Source organism: Homo sapiens, chromosome 14 (genome assembly GCF_000001405.40).
Source record: "Homo sapiens chromosome 14, GRCh38.p14 Primary Assembly".
Classification (NCBI taxonomy): domain Eukaryota; kingdom Metazoa; phylum Chordata; class Mammalia; order Primates; family Hominidae; genus Homo; species Homo sapiens.
In genome coordinates, this window is record NC_000014.9 from 75242046 (window position 1) to 75261862 (window position 19817).

At 46.9% G+C, this 19817-nt stretch overlaps 9 annotated features.

Annotated features, from left to right (window-relative positions):
* Positions 7713-7882: an enhancer, noted in NCBI's record as "active region_8739". NCBI's record gives its function as "activates an Ori minimal core promoter by ATAC-STARR-seq in GM12878 lymphoblastoid cells {active_cell/tissue: GM12878}" and the evidence as "EXISTENCE:reporter gene assay evidence [ECO:0000049][PMID:35858748]".
* Positions 8083-8202: an enhancer, noted in NCBI's record as "active region_8740". NCBI's record gives its function as "activates an Ori minimal core promoter by ATAC-STARR-seq in GM12878 lymphoblastoid cells {active_cell/tissue: GM12878}" and the evidence as "EXISTENCE:reporter gene assay evidence [ECO:0000049][PMID:35858748]".
* Positions 11901-13100: an enhancer, noted in NCBI's record as "BRD4-independent group 4 enhancer chr14:75720649-75721848 (GRCh37/hg19 assembly coordinates)". NCBI's record gives its function as "activates an origin of replication core promoter dependent on BRD2, P300/CBP, MED14 and CDK7 cofactors, and independent of BRD4, by STARR-seq in HCT116 cells {active_cell/tissue: HCT116}" and the evidence as "EXISTENCE:reporter gene assay evidence [ECO:0000049][PMID:35650434]".
* Positions 14835-15004: an enhancer, noted in NCBI's record as "experimental_36704 CRE fragment used in MPRA reporter constructs". NCBI's record gives its function as "activates a minimal promoter by MPRAs in K562 erythroleukemia cells, with activity observed for the non-introgressed 14:75723668 variant allele {active_cell/tissue: K562}" and the evidence as "EXISTENCE:reporter gene assay evidence [ECO:0000049][PMID:34662402]".
* Positions 14835-15398: a biological region, named in NCBI's record as "H3K27ac hESC enhancer GRCh37_chr14:75723647-75724146".
* Positions 14899-15398: an enhancer, noted in NCBI's record as "H3K27ac hESC enhancer chr14:75723647-75724146 (GRCh37/hg19 assembly coordinates)". NCBI's record gives its function as "activates a minimal SCP1, AML or CMV promoter by ChIP-STARR-seq in primed H9 embryonic stem cells {active_cell/tissue: H9 hESC(primed)}" and the evidence as "EXISTENCE:reporter gene assay evidence [ECO:0000049][PMID:30033119]".
* Positions 15676-18250: an enhancer, noted in NCBI's record as "VISTA enhancer hs1481". NCBI's record gives its function as "enhancer in: heart[3/5]" and the evidence as "EXISTENCE:transgenic organism evidence [ECO:0001131][PMID:17130149]".
* Positions 16098-17076: an enhancer, noted in NCBI's record as "H3K27ac hESC enhancer chr14:75724846-75725824 (GRCh37/hg19 assembly coordinates)". NCBI's record gives its function as "activates a minimal SCP1, AML or CMV promoter by ChIP-STARR-seq in naive H9 embryonic stem cells {active_cell/tissue: H9 hESC(naive)}" and the evidence as "EXISTENCE:reporter gene assay evidence [ECO:0000049][PMID:30033119]".
* Positions 17257-17516: an enhancer, noted in NCBI's record as "active region_8741". NCBI's record gives its function as "activates an Ori minimal core promoter by ATAC-STARR-seq in GM12878 lymphoblastoid cells {active_cell/tissue: GM12878}" and the evidence as "EXISTENCE:reporter gene assay evidence [ECO:0000049][PMID:35858748]".

Here is a 19817-nt window from a genome sequence, read left to right on the forward strand (position 1 = left end):
CTGGGAGGCAGAGGTTGCAGTGAGCTGAGATTGAGCCACTGCACTCCAACCTGGGTGGCAGAGCAAGACTCTATCTCAATCAATCAATAAACAAACTTGCAGTGGGAAAGGTGGGTACATAACGGGCATTTTTTTGGGAAACTTTCAGAATTTTATTTTATTTATTTTATTTTTTTTGAGTCTCGCTCTATCGCCCAGGCTGGAGTGCAGTGGTGCGATCTTGGCACACTGCAACCTCTGCCTCCCGGCTTCAAGCGATTCTCCTGCCTCAGCCTCTCGAGTAGCTGGGACTACAGGCGCCTGCCACCACGCTTGGCTAACTTTTGTATTTTTAGTAGAGACGGGGTTTCACCATGTTGGCCAGGCTGGTCTCGAACTCCTGGCCTGAAATGATCCGCCCGCCTTGGCATCCCAAAGTGCTGGGATTACAGGCGTGAGCCACTGTGCCTGGCCAGCTTTCAGAATTTTAGACAGTGCCTTCTTAGGCTCATGAATCCTGACAGATAGCCCGCTGTGACAGAGAGGGAGATGGAGAAAGCCTGTGTGAACAGGAGCCTGCGGGACTAGAGAGGAAAGGAAGATGGCTGTTGGCACACTTGCAATTTTAGAACAGCTGCAGTGGTTACAGTAGCTCCCCCTGAATGCGATGACGCTGGGCCACTTAGGGGAAAGGGAGAGAAGATTCTGCAGCCAATGACACGGAGGAGGGAGCACTCGCTATACTCAGTGGGTGGGTATTAAAGGGATTATGTGTATTAGGCAGTATTACCAGAAAGGCATGTGCTTTAACTGCCAAGAAACTAATAATGAATTGGAATGCCTTCCAGGGATGAGAACAAGTTAAAACAATATATTCTGTGCTCAACATGTACAATATTTCAAAATCAGTAGCACATTTGGCTTTACGGGACATGATGAGGGAGAAATTACAGAAGATCTCATATCATCATTTAATTTGGTCTCTTTTTAAAAGTCACATAACAGGACTCTCCATAGTAAAGGTACTAGCTAATATTTATTGAATGTTGACTGTATGCTTATTACTCATTTAAAGGTTCTATATCCAGGCTGGGTGTGGTGGCTCATGCCTGTAATCCCAGCACTTTGGGAAGCTGAGACGGGTGGATCACTTCAGGTCAGGAGTTCGAGACCAACCTGGCTAATACGGCGAAACTCCGTCTCTACTTAAAATACAAAAAGTAGCCAGGCATGTTGGCATGTGCCTGTAGTCCCAGCTATTTGGGAGGCTGAGGTATGAGAATCACTTGAACCCAGGAGGCAGAGGTTGCAGTAAGCTGAGATCACACCACTGCACTCCAGCCTGGGCAACAGGGCGAGACTCGGTCTCAAAAAAAAAAAAAAACGTTCTATATCCATCAACTCAGATAACCCCCACAACTTTATGAGGTAGGTACTCTTACTAGCCCCATTTCACAGATGGGAAAATAAAGCCACAGAGAGATTAAGTAACATGCCAAGACCACACAGCTAGTACATGTCACAGCTAGGATGATTTGAACCTAGGTTGGCTGACTCTAGATCCCAAACTTATTATTTATTTATTTATTGAGACAGAATTTCACTCGTTGCCCAAGCTGGAGTGCAATGGTGCGATCTCAGCTCACCACAACCTCTGCCTCCCGGGTTCAAGCGATTCTCCTTCCTCAGCCTCCCGAGTAGCTGGGATTACAGGCACCCGCCATCACACCCAGCTAATTTTTGTATTTTTAGTAGAGACGGGGCTTCACCATCTTGGCCAGGCTGGTCTTGAACTCATGACCTTGTGATCCACCCACCTCGGCCTCCCAAAGTGCTGGGATTACCTAGATCCCAAACTTATAACCACCATTCTATACCACCTTTATGATGGACCAGATGCCTTTTTTTTTTTTTTAAGACAGAGTCTTGCTCTGTTGCCCAGGCTGGAGTGCAGTGGCGTGATCTCTGCTCACTGCAACCTCCGCCTCCTGAGTTCAAGTAATTCTCCCTCCTCAGCCTCCCGAGTAGCTGGGACCACAGGCACGTGCCACCATGCCTGGCTAATTTTTGTATTTTTAGTAGAGATGGGGTTTTACCATGTTGGCCAGGCTGGTCTCAAACTCCTGGCCTCAAGCGATCCACCCACCTCGGCCTCCCAAAGTGCTAGGATTATAAGCGTGAGCCACCATGCTTGGCCCAGATGCCCTTTTAAAACTGTCTACTGATGGTATGCAAGATATTTGTTTTACTTCAATGCGTAAGAATGAGAAACTGTGGAAATCCTGTTTGAACATCAGCATGACGTCATTAATAATAAATGCTCATGAATCCAGGTCAGTTGTGTTCACCTTTAGGGCTTAGGAACCTCTCCACAGAGGACCCAGCATGAGTCTCATTTCTTGATGCCCTGCACCAAAGTGATTTTCAACAAGTAGTCTCTTTATCTATTCACTCAATAAATGTTTCTTGAGCACTCTCTCTGTGCCAACCATGCCAAACACACTGTACTAGGCTCTGGAAATATACTTGGGTCTAAGGCATAGTCTCTGCCCTCAAAGGGCATGTAACACATGGACATCTCTCAACCAATGACCAATAGGTTAAAAGCTCAATATCCTAAGGCTGATGCCCACCTCTTTTCCATTTGTCACCTGCTTCAGACATGAGGGTTATTACTATTTGCTGGAGGCCTAGGGAAGCTCAACTCCGAAATGAATGGGCTGCCATCCTGAAAGTCATCTGTATCCAGGAAAGTTTTCCTAGCCAAGAGCTCCACGTTCTTAACGGGAAAGTGACATTGAGTGGTGTCAAAGATGATAGTCAGTTAAAATAGATGATTATGAACAGAATGTGTAACATGAACTCACTGTGGTTTAAATATGTGTATGTGTATATTTATGACTAAACATCTAATTGTAGGCAGTGTAGTGGTTCTAGAGTCAGATTATTTGGATTTTATTAGCTTTGCAACTTTAACATTTCTATCCCACACATTCAGTGTGAAAACACATGTAAAGTACTTACAGTGATGCCTGGAACACAGTAAGCCCTTTATAAACATTAGTGATTATTCTCATCAATATTATTACTCCCCAAAGCTACCTCTAAAAAGTGGCTCCAGGGATGAAGGTGGAGAAGACTTTACCTTTTTATTAGTGTTACTTACTTCTTGATTATTGGAATTTTAAAAACATGTATTACTTTTATAATTAAAAAACAACAAACCTTGAGTAGGAGTATCCAGTGCAGAAAAATAAAAACAAACTAAACTGGCCGGGCATGGTAGCATGAGTTTGTAATCCCAGCTACTCGGGAGGCTGAGGCAGGAGAATCACTTGAACCTGGGAGGCAGGGGTTGCAGTGAGCCGAGATCGTGCCATTGCACTCCAGTCTGGGCAACAAGAGTGAGACTCCGTCTCAAAAAAACAAAAACTAAACTAACCCTTTATTTTGGCTATCTGGAGGCTCCTATTGAAACATAATGAATCACCTGAAAGGTACATAAAAAGAGTACCCCTCGGCCAGATGCAGTGGCTCACGCCTGTAATCCCAGCACTTTGGGAGGCCGAGGCAGCGGATCACTTGAGTTCAGGAGTTTGAGACCAGCCTGGCCAACACGGTGAAACACCATCTTTACTAAAAATACAACAAATTAGCTGGGCATGATGGCAGGCGCCTGTAATCCCAGCTACTCGGGAGGCTAAGGCAGGAGAATCGCTTGAACTCGGGAGGTGGAGGTTGCAGTGAGCCGAGATTGCACCACTGCACTCCAGCCTGGGCGACATAGCAAGACTCCATCTCAAAAAAAAAAAAGTGTACCCCTTTTCACCCTCTCTCACCTGGTGCCTGTTTTTTAGGGAAAATTGACTTCAGGTAGGAAACCTAAAAACATTCTGGTCTAGTTTCTCTAGGGAGCTGCTTGTAGAATTAAAAAGTACAAGGTAGGCTGCATCAGGCAAGGCTTCATCTAGGGCTCCAGGACCCCATCTCTGTTTATCTTTAAGTAGGGCTATCCTTCACTGCCAGTGCAATTCTCAGGCTCTTCATGCAAGGTGGCGGACAGCAACTCTAGGTCTGTATGTGCTCAGGTTCAAGTCTAGTGGAAAACAGCACATGCTTGTCTCTGGGCAATCCCGGCAAAGGTCTCATTGTGTTTCACGGGGGTAATGTGCCCACCTCTGAACCAATCACTACAGCAGAGGAATTGAGCAGTGCTCTGATTGGCCAGGCCATCTATGGAGGGAGAGGTAGAGTCAACTGCGCTTAATGCACAGAGATTAGGATTGGGGAAGGGTAATTTCCTAGAGGAAAATGGGAATCCAGTTGCCAGAAGAAGCCTGAATGAGTGCTGGGTGGCAAAGCAAGAGTTCCAAACACATCAACGAAGGAAAATGTGCAGTTTCGGGGGTGACCTGATGGTGCTATTATCTCCTCAATTGATTTGCTTTTCCAAAGCTTCCTTGTAGATACGTCTCACATACAGACCTAACCTGGGGTGGAGCAAAGAAATGGCAAACTTTCCTTATGCCTAGGCTAGGCATCTGTCCATCTCTGGGGTCATCAGGACTAGTGACTTGGAATCAGGAGACTCAGGCAGGGAAGAGAAGGTGAAAGCAAAAGATTGAATATACAGAAGGCCAGGCTTAAGGTGTCAGGAAACTATACCTGTCTCCTGGGAGTGGCAGATTTGTGAATGCCTCTCAGATACACAAGACTTAAGCCTGGAATCTCAATGCCCTGGGGGCAGGCAGGTGAAGCAAATGAGTGCAGAGGGCTGCTGCACCAAACCCAAGACACGTGCCCACCTAACAGTGGCGTCTATAACCCACTATCACTATTTTTCCCCAGGAGAGTCTGTAAATCCAGAATGGATGTATGTGCATGTGCACATGTGTGCAATCTCCCTGTTTTTATTCTTATTTTATTTTGGGGGGACAGGGTCTTGCTCTGTTGCCCAGGCTGGAGTGCAATAGTGCAATCACAGCTCACTGCAGCCTCGACCCCCTGGGCTCAAGCAAGCCTCCCACTTCAGCCTCTCAAGCAGCTGGGACCACAGGCATGTGCCACCACATCTGGCTAATTTTTTCGTTTTTATTTTTGTAGAGACGGGGTTCTCCCTATGTTGCCCAGGCTGGTCTCGAACTCCTGGGCTGGTCTTGATCCTCCTGCCTCAGCCTCCCAAAGTGTTGACATTATCGGTGTGACTTAACATGCCTGGCTTCTCTGTTTTTAAATGTTGACAACTGAAGCAAATGTTAAAATACACTATGTTGTCAGGCTCGGTGGCTCGTGCCTGTAGTCCCAGCAACTCAGGAAGCTGAGGTGGGAGGATCACTTGAGTCTGGGAGCTCGAGGCTGCAGTGAGCCACGGTCCCACCACTGCACGGACCTCCCCAACCCCCAAGTTTGTGACATCTGATAGAGCCATATAGCCACAGAGCAAATGGAAGACCCTTCTCGATTAGTACAATATTAAATCTGTGTGCTAATCTATGCCCAAATCAACAATTACCCAATGACAGCCCACTGCCCAAAGTTCAGCCCTTTCATCTACCTTATCTAACTAAAAGCTGAAAAATACCACGTGGGCCATGAAAGGTGAGGGAACATCACTGTGAGAACTGTACTTCCATTTCCTGGCGGGGGTGTGGTTAAATTCACAACTTTGGTGTGATACTAACCGTCGGAGGGTTTTACATTCGATTTCCTGTTTCCTTTTCTTAATAAAGAAAGGAAAAGTGGGCCCCCGCAGCAACGGTAAGCTGAGTTCCATAGGAAGACACCACGGGGGTTCCAACTTGGCCACAAGCAAAAACAAAACGTAACCCTGAAACCTGGTAAATAGCAATATGCAGAAAACTGTGGGCCATGTGGTTGCTTAGGGGTGTTTTGATCATCTTGTGCAGCAATTTTCCACCTTAAAGTCATCAGACTAGTGGCTATGTCCTTTATTTTCGAGTTGCTGGAACCATTTCCCACGAAAGATTTAGAATATAATAACGGTGATAATAACTATGGTAGTTCTCATGTGCCAGGGACAGTGAGAGGTGCCTCACATGCCTCTAATTCTGGGGTAAACGCTCCAAGAATGATTCCCATTTTACAGATGAGGAAACTGAGGTTTGGAGGAGTTAAGATAATTTGTCCAAGTTACTTTAACTGACGGAGATGGGGTTTCATTCTTTCTTTCATTCATTAAATATTTATAGGTCGCCTATTTATTAGGCTAGACACTACAGAAAGATTGAGGGTTGAAGGCAGCTGAGCTCAGAATGAATCCCACTTGCTGAAAATAACCTCTGTGGAGAAGCCACATTTGGAATATTTATTTTGAGTTTTCTTCCTTTCTTTTTAGAGACAGGGTCTTGCTCTGTTGCATAGCAGTGATAAAATCATAGCTCACTGCAGCCCCAAACTCCTGGCCTCAAGTGATCCTCCTGCCTGTGCCTCCGCCTCCCGAAGTGCTGGGATTACAGGCATGAGCCACGGCATTCGGTTTTCTTTTATTTCTTCAGACTTTAACATTTTTATTGCATTTTATCTTTTCCCCTGGTGCTCCTCAGCAGGATCTAGACTCTTACTGAGCACAGTTCTATGCTGAGTGCTGGAAGGAATACAAAGCTGTATGAAGGCCGGGCACGGTGGCTCACACCTGTAATCCAGCCCTTTGGGAGGCCGAGGCAGGCGGATCACCTGAGGTCAGGAGTTCGAGACCAGCCTGGCCAACATGGTGAAACCATGTCTCTACTAAAAATACAAAAAAAACAAACAAACAAAAATTAGCTGGACGTGGTGGTGGGTGCCTGTAATCCCAGCTACTTGGGAGGTTGAGGCAGGAGAATCGCTTGGACCCAGGAGGTGGAGGTTGCAGTAAGCTGAGATTGTACCACTCACTCCAGCCTGGGCGACAAGAGTGAGACTCCGTCTCAAAAAAAAAAACAAAAAACAAAAAACAAAAAGCCGCATGAAAAGCTGATCCTGACTTCTGGGAGCTTGTAATTCAGTTTGGGAGACAAAGCCTATGCAATAAAACATTTAAATAATAACACAAAATAATGCATAATTAAGTGCCAAAGTAAATGGTCCAGGTGAAAAAGTTCAGAGGGATGAGAGGCTACTTTAGGCTGACACGGGTGGGGCACTGGAACAGAGGAGGCAGGTCTTTGAGGGACAGGCAGAGTAAAGAGGACATGCTCAGCTGGTATGCAGGAGAAAAGGGACAAAGCACGGCATAAACGAAAGTGTAGAAAGAGGAGGAATATGCTGATGCAGTATGATCTGGTGCATAAACTCTCAGTTTCAGCAGTTACATGGTCCTGGGTGTGAATCCAGCCTCAGCACCTTTCTACCTGAGTGGCCCTACATCAATTATTTTACTTGTATTAAGCCTCAGTTTCCTGATCTGCAAAGTGGGCATAAAGAATGAAACCATGCAAAACAAAGCAGCATCTGGCACAGGGCCAGGCCTCAGTGGCAGCTACTGCTATTATTATGATCTCTTTGCAGGGGGAACCCTTGCAGCTGTTCCACCTGAATAGTGGAGAGAGGTGTGTGGCCACGCTGAAACCTGAAACCATAACGTAAGAGCCCAAGGGAGACTGGAAACTCTACAGCCATGAACTAAAAGCAGCGTGTGTCAGCCGCAGAATCGGATAACACAACCAAACCACAAATGTGCCTGCCGCTCAGGCTTTAAAGTTCTACAGCAGAGCAGGACCCACTGTGACTTACTTTGTGTGATGGAGTCAAACCACATTTTTTTTCTTCTTTTTCTCATCAGACTTCACAGGAAATATACGTCTTTGTTCAGATTTGAGATAAGGTACCCCTTCACCTTGACTCTCCTTTGCGGCATGAACTCACCCATTAAGTTGCTCACTTTCTATCCTAGGCCCATATCATCAGCCACTTATATTTAGTAGGCATGTGGGTTTGTATTGCTCTTATGTTAGAGGTGGAATCAAAGCTTTATCTATTAAGACATGGTTTGTAGTCAGACTGAGATGACAATCTAAAAAAAGGAGGTGAGAGTCTCCCGGAGGATACAACCAAGTGGGGTGGATTCTGTTGAAGGTTGTTTATTTTGCCATCAGTAATCCCCTACAATGCTGTTGCTCAATAATTATTTTAGGTCTCATGACTTTCAACCTAACCTCTGTGCCCACAGAGAGAATCTATACTGAGGTGTTGACATGATTTCTTTGCAGCTGTTACAAATTAATAGCCTTGGCTCCCTTCGCATGTTGAACCATTAAAATTGTGAAGACAATTGGCATTAAGGTATTTCTCAAAGACCCCTCACCCAGTCTAATGGGACCTCTGTCCCGTTCCAGGAGTGCCTATTCCTAGATTTCTTTTTTATTTATTTTATTTATTTTTTGGTTTTTCCTTTTAAGCCCAAATCTCCCCATATAGGACTAACCTACGGGCCGACACGGTGGCTCACACCTGTAATCCTAGCACTTTGGGAGGCCGAGGCAGGCAAATCACCTGAGGCCAGGAGCTCGAGGCCAGCCTGGCCAACATGGCGAAACCCCATCTCTACTAAAAATACAAAAATTAGCCAGGCATGGTGGTGCACACCTGTAATCCCAGCTACTTGGAAGGCTTAGACAGGAGAATGGTTGAACCCAGGAGGTGGAGGTTGCAGTGAGCCGAGATCATGCCACTGTACTCCAGCCTGGATGACAGAGCAAGACTCCATCTCAAAAGAAAAAAAAAAGGACTAACCTAAGAATTGATGGTAGGAGGGCATGGAAGGAGGAGTACAAACAATAGCCCAGTAGGTTGTAGCTTATAGCCAGCGTTCAATAAACTTATCTCAGTATACTGAGAAGGAAGGAAGCAAATATATAATAAACCACCACCACGTTAATGCCTACTGTTTGTCAAGCATTTGCCATCCACACACCTTATCTTGTTGTCCTCCAACAACAGTATAAGGAAGGTAGTATTGGTGTGCCCATTTTGCAGAGAAGGAAACTGAGGCACAGAAAGATTAACTCGTAAGATAAATAGTTTGCAATGAGTAGCAGAGCAGGGATTTGAACCCAGGGAGTCGAGCTCCAGGGCTGGTGTTGTCAAATGCTACTAAGATATGTGTATTTTATCAGGAGGAAGCAGAGGGAGAAGAGGCACTGTAAAGAAATAGAAGGGTGTCTTGGGAGCTTAAGCTTTGGCCTATAGCACGATGCTGTCCCAGTCACAAACAGAGCCCCAGCCCAGATGGACAAGGCCACATCCTGACAAATACCCAGAAGTAAGACAGTCACAGTTTTGTACCCACTCTCTGTCCCCATCCTTTGCTGTTCTTGTGGGGCCAGCCAGGTTCCAGCTGAGTTGTAAACTTGTAGTATGGCTCTAGCTAGCCTAAGGGATTAGTGGAGCCATCTCTGGCTCATTGAGCTCCAGAGTGGCCAGTGAGAGCCTGGAAGTTGGATCAGATGACACTTCTGGAGGCATGGGCTATGGTCCCAAGGGTCCCCAGTAACTGGACAAGGGCCTTGGATCCCCAGCCTAATATGGAAGCGTCTCAAGACCCTTCTCTGGTCTTGTGTCTTCACTGACCCTGAGGAAAGGGCCTCCATTTTGCTTTAGATAGTTTAGCACAGTCTGGGAAGTCAGCCATTTCTGAGTTTGAATCTCATTTATTGCCTGTGCTGAGTTGGGAAAGTTAACTTCTCTATGCCTCTACTGCTTTTTTAAAAAACTAAAAATATAGAAGGCTGGACGCAGGGGCTCACACCTGTAATCCCAGCACTTCGGGAGGCCAAGGTGGGTGGATCATGAGGTCAAGAGATTGAGACCATGCTGGCCAACACGGTGAAACCCCGTCCCTACTAAAAATACAAAAAAATTAGCTGGATGTGGTGGCAGGCACCTGTAGTCCCAGCTACTTGGGAGGCTGAAGCAGGAGAATTGCTTGAAGTGGGAGGTGGGGGTTGCAGTGAGCTGAGGTTGCGCCACTGCACTCCAGCCTGGTGACAGAGCGAGACTCAGTCTCAAAAAAAAAAAAAAAAAAATACACACACACACACACACACACATATATATATATATATATACTGGGTCTTGCCATGTTGCCCAGGCTGCTCTTGAACCCCTGGCCTCGAGCAATCTCTGTGCTTCCATATCTTCATCTGTCAAAGGGGATAGTATAAGAACCTACCTCACAGGGTTGTTTTAAGGACAAAGTAAACGAATTCCTATCAGTCACATAAAGCACACTTGGCACTCAGTAAACGTGGGTGATGGTAATGAACTACACCTTGCTTCCGTTTAAGAAGTCATTCTAACTGTCTCAAGCCCCACAATGCACATTATCTCATCCGGGTAGGGAGCGGCCCCAGGAACAAAGCCTATGGCTTTGCCAGGCCCTGCAGCCATGTGCTCAGGTCTCTCCTGGAGAGGAAATGGTTTCATTATTCAGCTGTCTAGGTCATGGCCACTTTCTTCAGGGCAGGGCTGTCTGTGGCCTTGCCTGCTCGACATGCTTGGTTATGCCCAGCATGCCAGCCTGGCTCTGCCGGCCCCCAGCGTGTGAAGGAGCACAGAGAGGCATAAGCCTGCCTGCCGGGAAGAATGCTCATTCATGACAGGTCCATAGCGTCATAATGCTAGGCCTTGTTCTTGCCCCTGGAGCAGGTGAGGAGCCCATGGAAGCTAGTGCACTTCTGAAGATCCTTTCGTTGATCTGGCTGGATGACCATGACTGTGACCTTCAGCCAGGAAATCCCTGCATTCAAGGGAAGGCTGCCCCAGGGTCCAGGGCAAGGGCAATGTTTAGGCTAGTAGAAAGGCCCTTTCTGGCTGGGTGCGGTGGCTCACACCTGTAATCCCAACATTTTGGGAGGCTAAGGCGGGCCATCGCTTGAGCCCAAGAGTTTGAGACCAGCCTGGGCAACATGGTGAAACCCCATCTCTACAAAAAATACAAAAATTGGCCTGGTGTGGTGGTGGGGGCTTGTAGTCCCAGCTATTCAGGAGGATGAGGAGGGAGGATCACTTGAGCCTGGGAGGTCAAGGCTGCTGTGAGCTAGGATAAAGTCACTGCATTTCAGTGACTGCATTTCAGTGATTTTCAGCCTGGGAAAGACAGCGAGACCCTGTCTCAGAAAAAAGAAAGGCCCTTTCCAAAGTTGACTTGGGAGCCTCAGAAGGGAAGCATAGAGATGACAGGGCGGGTCTGGGGTGCTGTGTCTGTGTCTGCTGTCTAAGGCATCTAGCCACCGGCACAGCAGGGCTCTCCAGGAACATCGCTACCATTCTGGTTCTGAGATGTGTTCCAGAGGTTCTGGTTCCGCTTCCGTATGGGTTCCAGACTTCCTTCCGTTGAATCCTAGCACTGTCATTTATCAACTGTGTGACCTTTGAAAATCTCCTTAACCTCTCTGCCTCCATTTCTCATCTGTAAGAGGGGATGACAATAATCTACTCACCTACTCACCTCTTTATGTTGTTTTGAGGCTTAAATGAGTTTTTACAAAAATGCTTAGAACAGTGCCTGGCATGTAGTAGCATAAATATTTGCTGTTATTTTTCACATGCTAGAGATTTTAGTTCTGGATGGAGGCTCATCTAAGTAAGGGGGCAAATCCAGAGTTCTAGACTAAGTCTATTTGACCTTGAAGTCTGTTTTCCTTGAAAGCTACCACCTTGTATAAAAAGAACCCCTAATTTGTATGCTTTAGGAGAGACCATATTTCAATTTTGGGGACACCAGTCCTTCAAGGTACAGCACAGTTGCCTGACCTCAGAATTTTTTTTTTTTTTTTTTTTTTGAGACAGAGTTTCGCTCTTGTTGCCCAGGCTGGAGTGCAATGGCGTGATCTTGGCTCACCGCAACCTTCGACTCCCTGGTTCAAGTGATTCTCCTGCTTCAGCCTCCCGAGTAGCTGGGATTATAGGCATGTGCCACCACACCCAGCTAATTTTGTGTTTTTAGTAGAGATGGGGTTTCTCCATGTTGGTCAGGCTGTTTTCAAACTCCTGACCTCTGGTGATCCGCCCGCCTTGGCCTCCCAAAGTGCTGGGATTACAGGCATGAGCTACTGCGCTTGGTCCAGAATTTTCTTTTCTTTTCTTTTCTTTTTTTTAACAAACAAGGTATTGCTCTGTCTCCCAGTCTGGAGTGTAGTAGCATGATCATAACTCACTGCAGTCTAGGCCTCCTTGGCTCAAGTGGTCCGCCTGCCTCAGCCTCCCAAAGTGCTAGAATTATAGGTATGAGCCACTGTGCCTGGACAGATTTTGTTTTAGAAGCAGGAGTTAAGTGTCCATGAGTAGTAGGAACTCAGGTAATCCAGCCCAAATGGACTTGATCAACCATCCCCTGATCCCGGATCTCAGCGTGATGGGAGTCTAGGAAACCTGCCCTTTGACCTGAATCTGGATGACGTTAGTAATACAGGAATAGGTGAAATGCCAGCCACACCTGGCTGGCCCATGAAAAGGAAATACTTCCCACGCTTTGCTTTTGCACACCAAGGGCCCCCAGGTAAAGGCATCCAGGGTGCAAGCCGCCTGCTTTAATGCCCGGGTGTGGCTGCAGGAACAACCCAGTACAAACTGGAGTGAACCTGTTGCCCTCTTCCTTCCCTGCTGCCAAGCCAAACAGAACACAGGGAACACAAATAGAATCATCACAGTAAACCAGCTGTTGGAGCCAGACACTGGGAGAACCCACTCCCTGGCACTGCCACCCCATTCACGGGTCCAGACATGATGAAGTGCTCTGAGGGCTGAGGAAGGTGTGGCCCGTGGGCATTCCTGTCCAGCAAGAACCCCTCTGGCTTGTCTGTATTCATTGCCACCCACATGGACCTCTCTATGGTTGCTTGCCAAAGCCGGGAGGGAGAAGGGTCTCCCCTTCCTCCAAGCCCAGGATCACCGGGAAATGCCCTTCCCACCTACTGGACTTGACTAATGCTGCTTGTCAAGAAGGGAACTCTTCAGACACATAAAAATCCTAAAGGTAGCTGAGGTTTGAAAGAATTCGTGCTGGACGTGCTTCCCTGCAGGGTCAGGCATTGGGGAGGAGGGAGAAGAGGAAGGAGGAGCTGGTTGTAAGTGACAGCTGCAGATAAATCTGTGTGGAGCTGTCCAGGGAGCTGTTGAACTCAGGTAGTGCCCTCCCTAGCCTGGGGCAGGTCAGAGTCTCCCCGAACCACCCAAACCTTTCTGCTGCGTGTGCTCTGGGGCATGTCTCTCTTTGCCTCCTTGGATCTTGAGCCAATGAGGAAATATAGGCTAGTCCCAGAAGGCAGGGATGAATTTGTGTTCTTTGTGGTGTCAGCACCTTTTCATGAAGCTCTAGCAGATCTCACAATCTTCCCTTCTTTAAAAAAAAAAAGAAAAAGAAAAAAGTTTGGAAAAGGGGGCTAGAGTCTCCCTATGGAAAAGAAAGCTCGTGGAATGATCCAAGTGGAGGTTTTCCATGCATTCCATGGCATCATTGGAGATGTCCTGGCTCTGTACTTACTTAACTACTTGAATCTCAGTTTCTTCCGTTGTAAAAGTGGGCACATGAAGACCTAGTTCTCATGGATATTAACAGGATAAAACGAGATAACACATAGAGTACTCTCAAGTACTCTACATAGTCCTAGCATATCAAAAGTATTAGATAAATCTTGCCTTTATTTTCTCCTTCTCATACACTGTGTCAGTGGCTTGCTGGGTCCTTGATTAGCCTGAAGGACTGAAAGAGAGACCTCAAGAGAGAGAATGGCAAAGTAAATACGACCATCTTATTCGAACTTAACTCTGCGTTTCAAGTAGGGAGATAAGAAGGACTGCTGTTCCACTTCTTTTCTAGATGACAAGATGGGTTATTTTTATTTTTTATTTTTGAGACAGTTTCGCTCTTGTTGCCCAGGCTGGAGTGCAACGGCATGATCTTGGCTCACCGCAACCTCTGCCTCCCGGGTTCAAGTGATTCTCCTGCCTCAGCCTCCCTAGTAGCTGGGATTACAGGCATGCGCCACCATGCTTGGCTAATTTTGTATTTTTAGTAGAGACGGGGTTTCACCATGTTGGTCAGGCTGGTCTCGAACTCCTGACCTCAGGTGATCCGCCTGCCTTAGCCTCCCAAAGTACTGGGATTACAGGCAAGAGCTACCATGCCAGGCCTAAAATGGGTTATTTCTGTGCCTAGAGGTAAATTGCATCAGTGCTTTCCCATCTGAAACAAAACACAAACCACTTCATTTCCATGTCAAAAACTGATTCAATCTAATCTACCCATAAATCAGGCTTTCTCATTAACCTGAATTTGAAGTTTCTCTCTTTTCCAGCTGCTTTTATGCTCTAGGTGGAGTTTAGAAAAGAGAAGTCTAGCTTAACCATTCGTTGACAGAAAAAAGTAGAAATTGTCATTTCTTCCCTGAAAATACCAGAATTAGTAAATTGCTACCTTGCCCATAATCCTGTAATAAGCAGAATCTGCATTATGGTTGGATATATAGCATGAATCTCAACTACTATCTGGGTTTTTGTTTTTATTTTTATTTATTTATTTATTTTTGAGACTGAGTCTCACTTTGTTGCCCAGGATGGAGTACAGTGGCGCAATCTCGGCTCACTGCAACCTCGGCCTCCCAGGTTCAAGTGATTCTCCTACCTCAGCCTCTTAAGTAGCTGGGATTACAGGTGTGCGCCACCACGCCCGGCTAAATTTTTTGTATTTTTAGTAGAGACGGGTTTTCACTATGTTGGCCAGGCTGGTCTCGAACTCCTGACCTTAGGTGATCCACCCGCCTCAGCCTCGCAAAGTGTTGGGATTACAGGCGTAAGCCACTGCGCCCGGCCAATATTTTTTTCTTTTTTCTTTTCTCCTTTTTTTTTTTTCTTTTTTTGAGTCAGAGTCTGTCGCCCAGCCTGGAGGGCAGTGGTGGGATCTTGGCTCACTGCAATCTCTGCCTTCCAGGCTCAAGCAATTCTCCTGCCTCAGCCTCCTGAGTAGCTGGGACTACAGGCCTGCACTACCACACCTGGCTAACTTTTGTATTTTTAGGAGACAGGGTTTCACCATGTTGGCCAGGCTGGTCTCGAACTCCTGGCTTCAAGTGATTCGCCTGCCTCCCAAAGTGATGGGATTACAGGCGTGAGCCACTGTGCCCGGCCAGGGTTTTTTTTTCCTGAAGGGCTGATCATGGCTTTGTTCCACTCACTGTGCCCTTCTTCCTCTGCTTGGAACTGGACAGAAGTTCCAATAAGCTACTGTCTTCTATTAAGTAAGGACCAGACATGAAAAACTTTATGGTGGGGATGAGTGGATGGGGCAAGGGTTTGGGGAGCAATGATCAACTGGGTAAAATCCTGGGGAGTGGCAATTGAGTGGGAAGGGAGTCAAGAAGTGTTTAGGGAAGGATGTCGGGGAAGTGAGTAATAGGTAGGTCAGAGGATGGAGCAAGGGAATGTTGAAAGGCAACGGATATGCTCTGTGGACAGGTGGCAAAATATCTGAATGGGGGCCCAGGGAGGGCTACTATGGAGTAACAGGGAAGGGACCCTGAGGTGCTGATTTCTCAGAGATAGACAATGGGATTGGATATGTGTTGGTGGAGGAATGCAGAAAGCCCAGGCCAACTCCGAATGCCATTCATTTACATGAAATCCCTCTTTATGCCTCCACCATCTGCAACAGACTATGTGCTCACCCAAATGGCTTGCTTTTAATTCCAGCAAATAATATCCCCTCTGCTTTCCCCCAAATACAAAAGACACCATTTAAATTCAGCCAGGATGGAAGATCATGATATTTGGAGAAAATTCAAAGTCTGGGCCGCTCAGCTGTGCCTTATCATTCAAAAGTTACATTTTGTTCAGGTTGGCTGGCTTCACATGGTCATCTCAACTTTTCACTCCTGTTTCTTTCTTCTTTTTTTTTGAGACAGAGTCTCGCTCTGTCGCCCAGGCTGGAGTGTGCAGTGGCGCGATCTTGACTCACTGCAACCTCCGCCTCCTGGTTTCAAGCGATCCTCCTGCCTCACCCTCCCGAGTAGCTGGGATTACAGGCGCCCGCCACCAAGCCTGGCTAATTTTTATTTTTATTTTTTATTTTTTAATTAGAGAGGAGGTTTCGCCATGTTGCCCAGGCTGGTCTTGAACTCCTGACTTCAGGTGATCCACCTGCCTCAGCTGCCCAAAGTGCTGGGATTATAGGCCTGAGCCACCCTGCCTGGCCCTCTCCTCTGTTTCTTGACCTGGTTTTGTTTACAATTTGTTGCTGCAATCTTCCTATAACTGTTTCCAGAGTTGTGTGACGAAAAGGGAGGCTGGCACGCAGAGAGATTTCTCACACTCTGTTGGCTTGTGCAGTTGAGACAAAATTAAGCAATGTAGAAATTTAAGCTTCAGTTTTTAATGACCTAGGTTTTTCCAGGCCTTCCCATTTTGGAGTATCACAGTACTCAGGGATTTCTGAGTTTTCTCTCCCTTCCAGAGGAACTATTCTTGAATGGGATTATTAAGCACCCCTTCCTCAATTCTTCAACAAAGCTCCGAGGAATGAATGTCTCAAGTTCTGCTGCTTTTAAAGTATAAAAGATAAATTCAAAGTTCCTTATGCTTCTCCTTTCTGGGAGAATTCTGGGTTTTACTCCAACAGTGGGAAAGTTTTCTAAGCTGGTTTTGCTCCTGTCTCATGGGCAAGGCAGTTTGGTCGGTGGCTGTTCTGTGGGCTGCTGTCTGGAGGAGACGGTCGGTGGAGACGGTCGGTCGGGGAGGTCACCCTGACAATTATGGCCAACTGACGGTGGAGGGAGTGGTCTCGGTTTGGCCCTCAGTCTGGAGTCACAGTCTGGATTCACAGGCAGCGCAGAGAGATGTTGGCTCAGGACCTGAGGCTGAGGCGTGCTGGGACAGCCTAGGGGGTGTCCTGGCTTTCCAGGGGCTGGGGAACCCTCTCTGGCCCGGGGGCGGGAGAAGCTGTTCCAGAATCGGTTCTGGCTCCACTGCCACCTCAGCACTTTCTAATTGCAGCTCCAAACAGCCGCAGCTGCAGTCATAGCAACAGGCCCCGCCCACCGGGCTTCGCTCCTGGCGTCCAGCACGTGACGGCGACGCCTGCGTCGCTCCCTCAGCCCCTGGCGCTAAGGGAGGCGGGGAAGTGTGGGGGGATGACGTTTACTCTGTCGTCTCCATGGATATAATGCATAGACGTCAACGTCGCCAGTGTTTGGTGTGTAACGTTCTTCCGTCTCCATGGGAACGTCAGGCGGCCAAACACCGGGCCCCAGCAACAGGCTTCTGATTGGCCCGAGGCTTCCAAAGGCGGAGCTTCGTCTCCCGCGCCCGCTCGACTGTGTTGCTGTTTTGGTTGTTGTCTCCCACTTGTTTATTTCTCTAACAGATCCTGGAGGCTGAGGTCTAGATCGGTCGCCAAGGATGGGATCCAGGAGAAAACGTGCTGAACGTGCAGCTTGCTCCTACCGATTACAGCCCAGCAGATGACATAGTTCCACTGTGCTCTAGTCCATTGTGGGAATTATGGCCCTCATGCCCGGCGTCTGTCACAACCCAATATTTGGTGTTATAACCCCTGCTCCCACCCCCCAGCACATCTCAGAAGTGCCGTTACCCTCTCAGTCACATCCCAGAAACTGTGTTGCCTTCACGGTTACTCTTGTTTATGCTTGAGAGCACTCGGAGGCCTTTCCATATCTAAAGCCTGCATTCAGTGCTACCCCCTGCAGGATTTGGATACATTTCCCCGTCTGGTCCTAATTCTGTTGAATGACATCATTTATCCGTATTCCCACCCAGAGATGGGCAGATTTCTTGTAACCTGAATAGATACCAAAGAATCCCAAAGGACCTGGGTGGGTACTTCTATTTATGGGCTCATTGGATCTTATTCTTTCCTCTCCGCCTGTTTTAATTCAAATCGGGGGGACCATTTGATTTCTCCAATAGAAACAGAAAGAAATTGAAGACAGAGATGAACACAGATCAAGAGCCCAGGTTTCTTGATATCTAATACTAATATACTGATGGAGTTAAACATTCCAAGGTACGAATGTGTCCAGAAACAGTTTTAACCTTACCCTGGGTTTCCATCAGTGAAACCAAGTTAACATCTGGCAAAAGATAGCGATCTAGCCTCAGGGGTTTCAGTCAAGTTGCGCTTAAAAGAATGCCTTAAAATCTGTAGTTATGGTGTCAAATATAATAAATCTTCACCAGCTCATGCACGTACAAGTCTGAAATGTTTCATAAAAGGTTTAGATGACCTGATAACATGTTTCTAAAACCCAGAGAGAAAGAGAGAGACTGATACAAACGTCAAGTTAAAAACAAGAAAGTAAAATTAGTTTCATAGATTGGGGTTGATAAGGGGAATCTCTGTCCTCTATGCTCTAATCTTAGCCCACTACCTCCTTTCCTCTATCTCCTCTGGTGGATATGCTTGCTATCTGTCCTCCCCTCCGACTCTTTGGCTAGCCTTATAGCCTATAATTTCCTTCAGAGATGTAGTGAAATTAAATGAAATTAAGAGCCTGCTTAATGCAAACAGGACCAAAGGGCACAGCTCTTTATCGTAATGAACTTCATTCTGATTAAGTCAGGGACTGCAAGTGCTTACTATTTACCCAGTAAATATATTAAATTGCTAGGCTAGTCTCCCTTCTGTCCTGACACTGCCAGGGAATATTTGAAAGTCGGATATAAGATCCATTTTAGACCATCAAACATCCCTTCTAATTCTATCATCTCTCTTTATGTTTCCAGGAATATAGCATGTCTTGGTCTCTGAGAGCCAATATATCTGGGTTACACTGAAAGAGGAATAACGAGATAATATTTACACTGTACATTGAAGATGACCTGAAAAGCTGGAAGAGGTGACTGAGGGCATTTTCTCAGTGTGGATGAAGAAGAGGGGAGGAAGGTGAAAGATGACAGAATATCTAAGTGCCTAGATTTGATTCTAGCATATGAACCCATTTTATGATTCTGTCCAAGGGCATCAGTTATAACCTCCAAATTTCCATGTCCTTCTCCATCTCCCAGTCTTAGAATTTTTTTTTTTTTTTTTTTTTGAGACAGAGTCTTGCTCTGTCACCCAGGCTGGAGTGTAGTGGCAGGATCTTGGCTCACTGCAACTTCCACCTCTCAGGTTCAAGTGATTCTCCTGCCTCAGCCTCCCAAGTGGCTGGGAATACAGGCGCCTGCCACAACGTCTGGCTAATTTTTGTATTTTTAGTAGAGACAGGGTTTTGCCGTATTGGCCAAGCTAGTCTTGAACTCCTGACCTCAAGTGATCTGCCCACCTTGGCCTCCCAAAGTGCTGCTGGGATTACAGGCGTGAGCCACCGCGCCTGGCCAGTTCTTTCTTTTTTTTCTTTCTCTCTCCTTTCCCTCCCTCCCTCCTTCCTTCCTTCCTTCCTTCCTTCCTTCCTTCCTTCCTTCCTTCCTTCCTTCCTTCCTTTCAATGGAATCTCGCTCTGTCACCCAGGCTGGAGTGCAATGGCGCAATCTCGGCTCACTACAACCTCCGTCTCCCAGGTTCAAGCAATTCTCCTGCCTCAGCCTCCCGAGTAGCTGGGATTACAGGTGCACACTGCCACGCCCGGCTAATTTTTTGTATTTTTAGTAGAGACGGGGTTTCACCGTGTTCCCCGGGCTGGTCTTGAACTCATGAGCTCAGGCAATCCACCTGCCTCAGCCTCCCAAAGTGCTAGGATTACAGACGTGAGCCACCACAGCCGGCCAGGCCAGTTCTTTCTTTTTGTTTGACCCAAACATGGTCATGGGCCATGATGTGGGACCCAGCGAATTTTTAGTCTAGGAAATACCAAATAGATATCGTTTTGATTGTATCGTGAGAAGCAGTT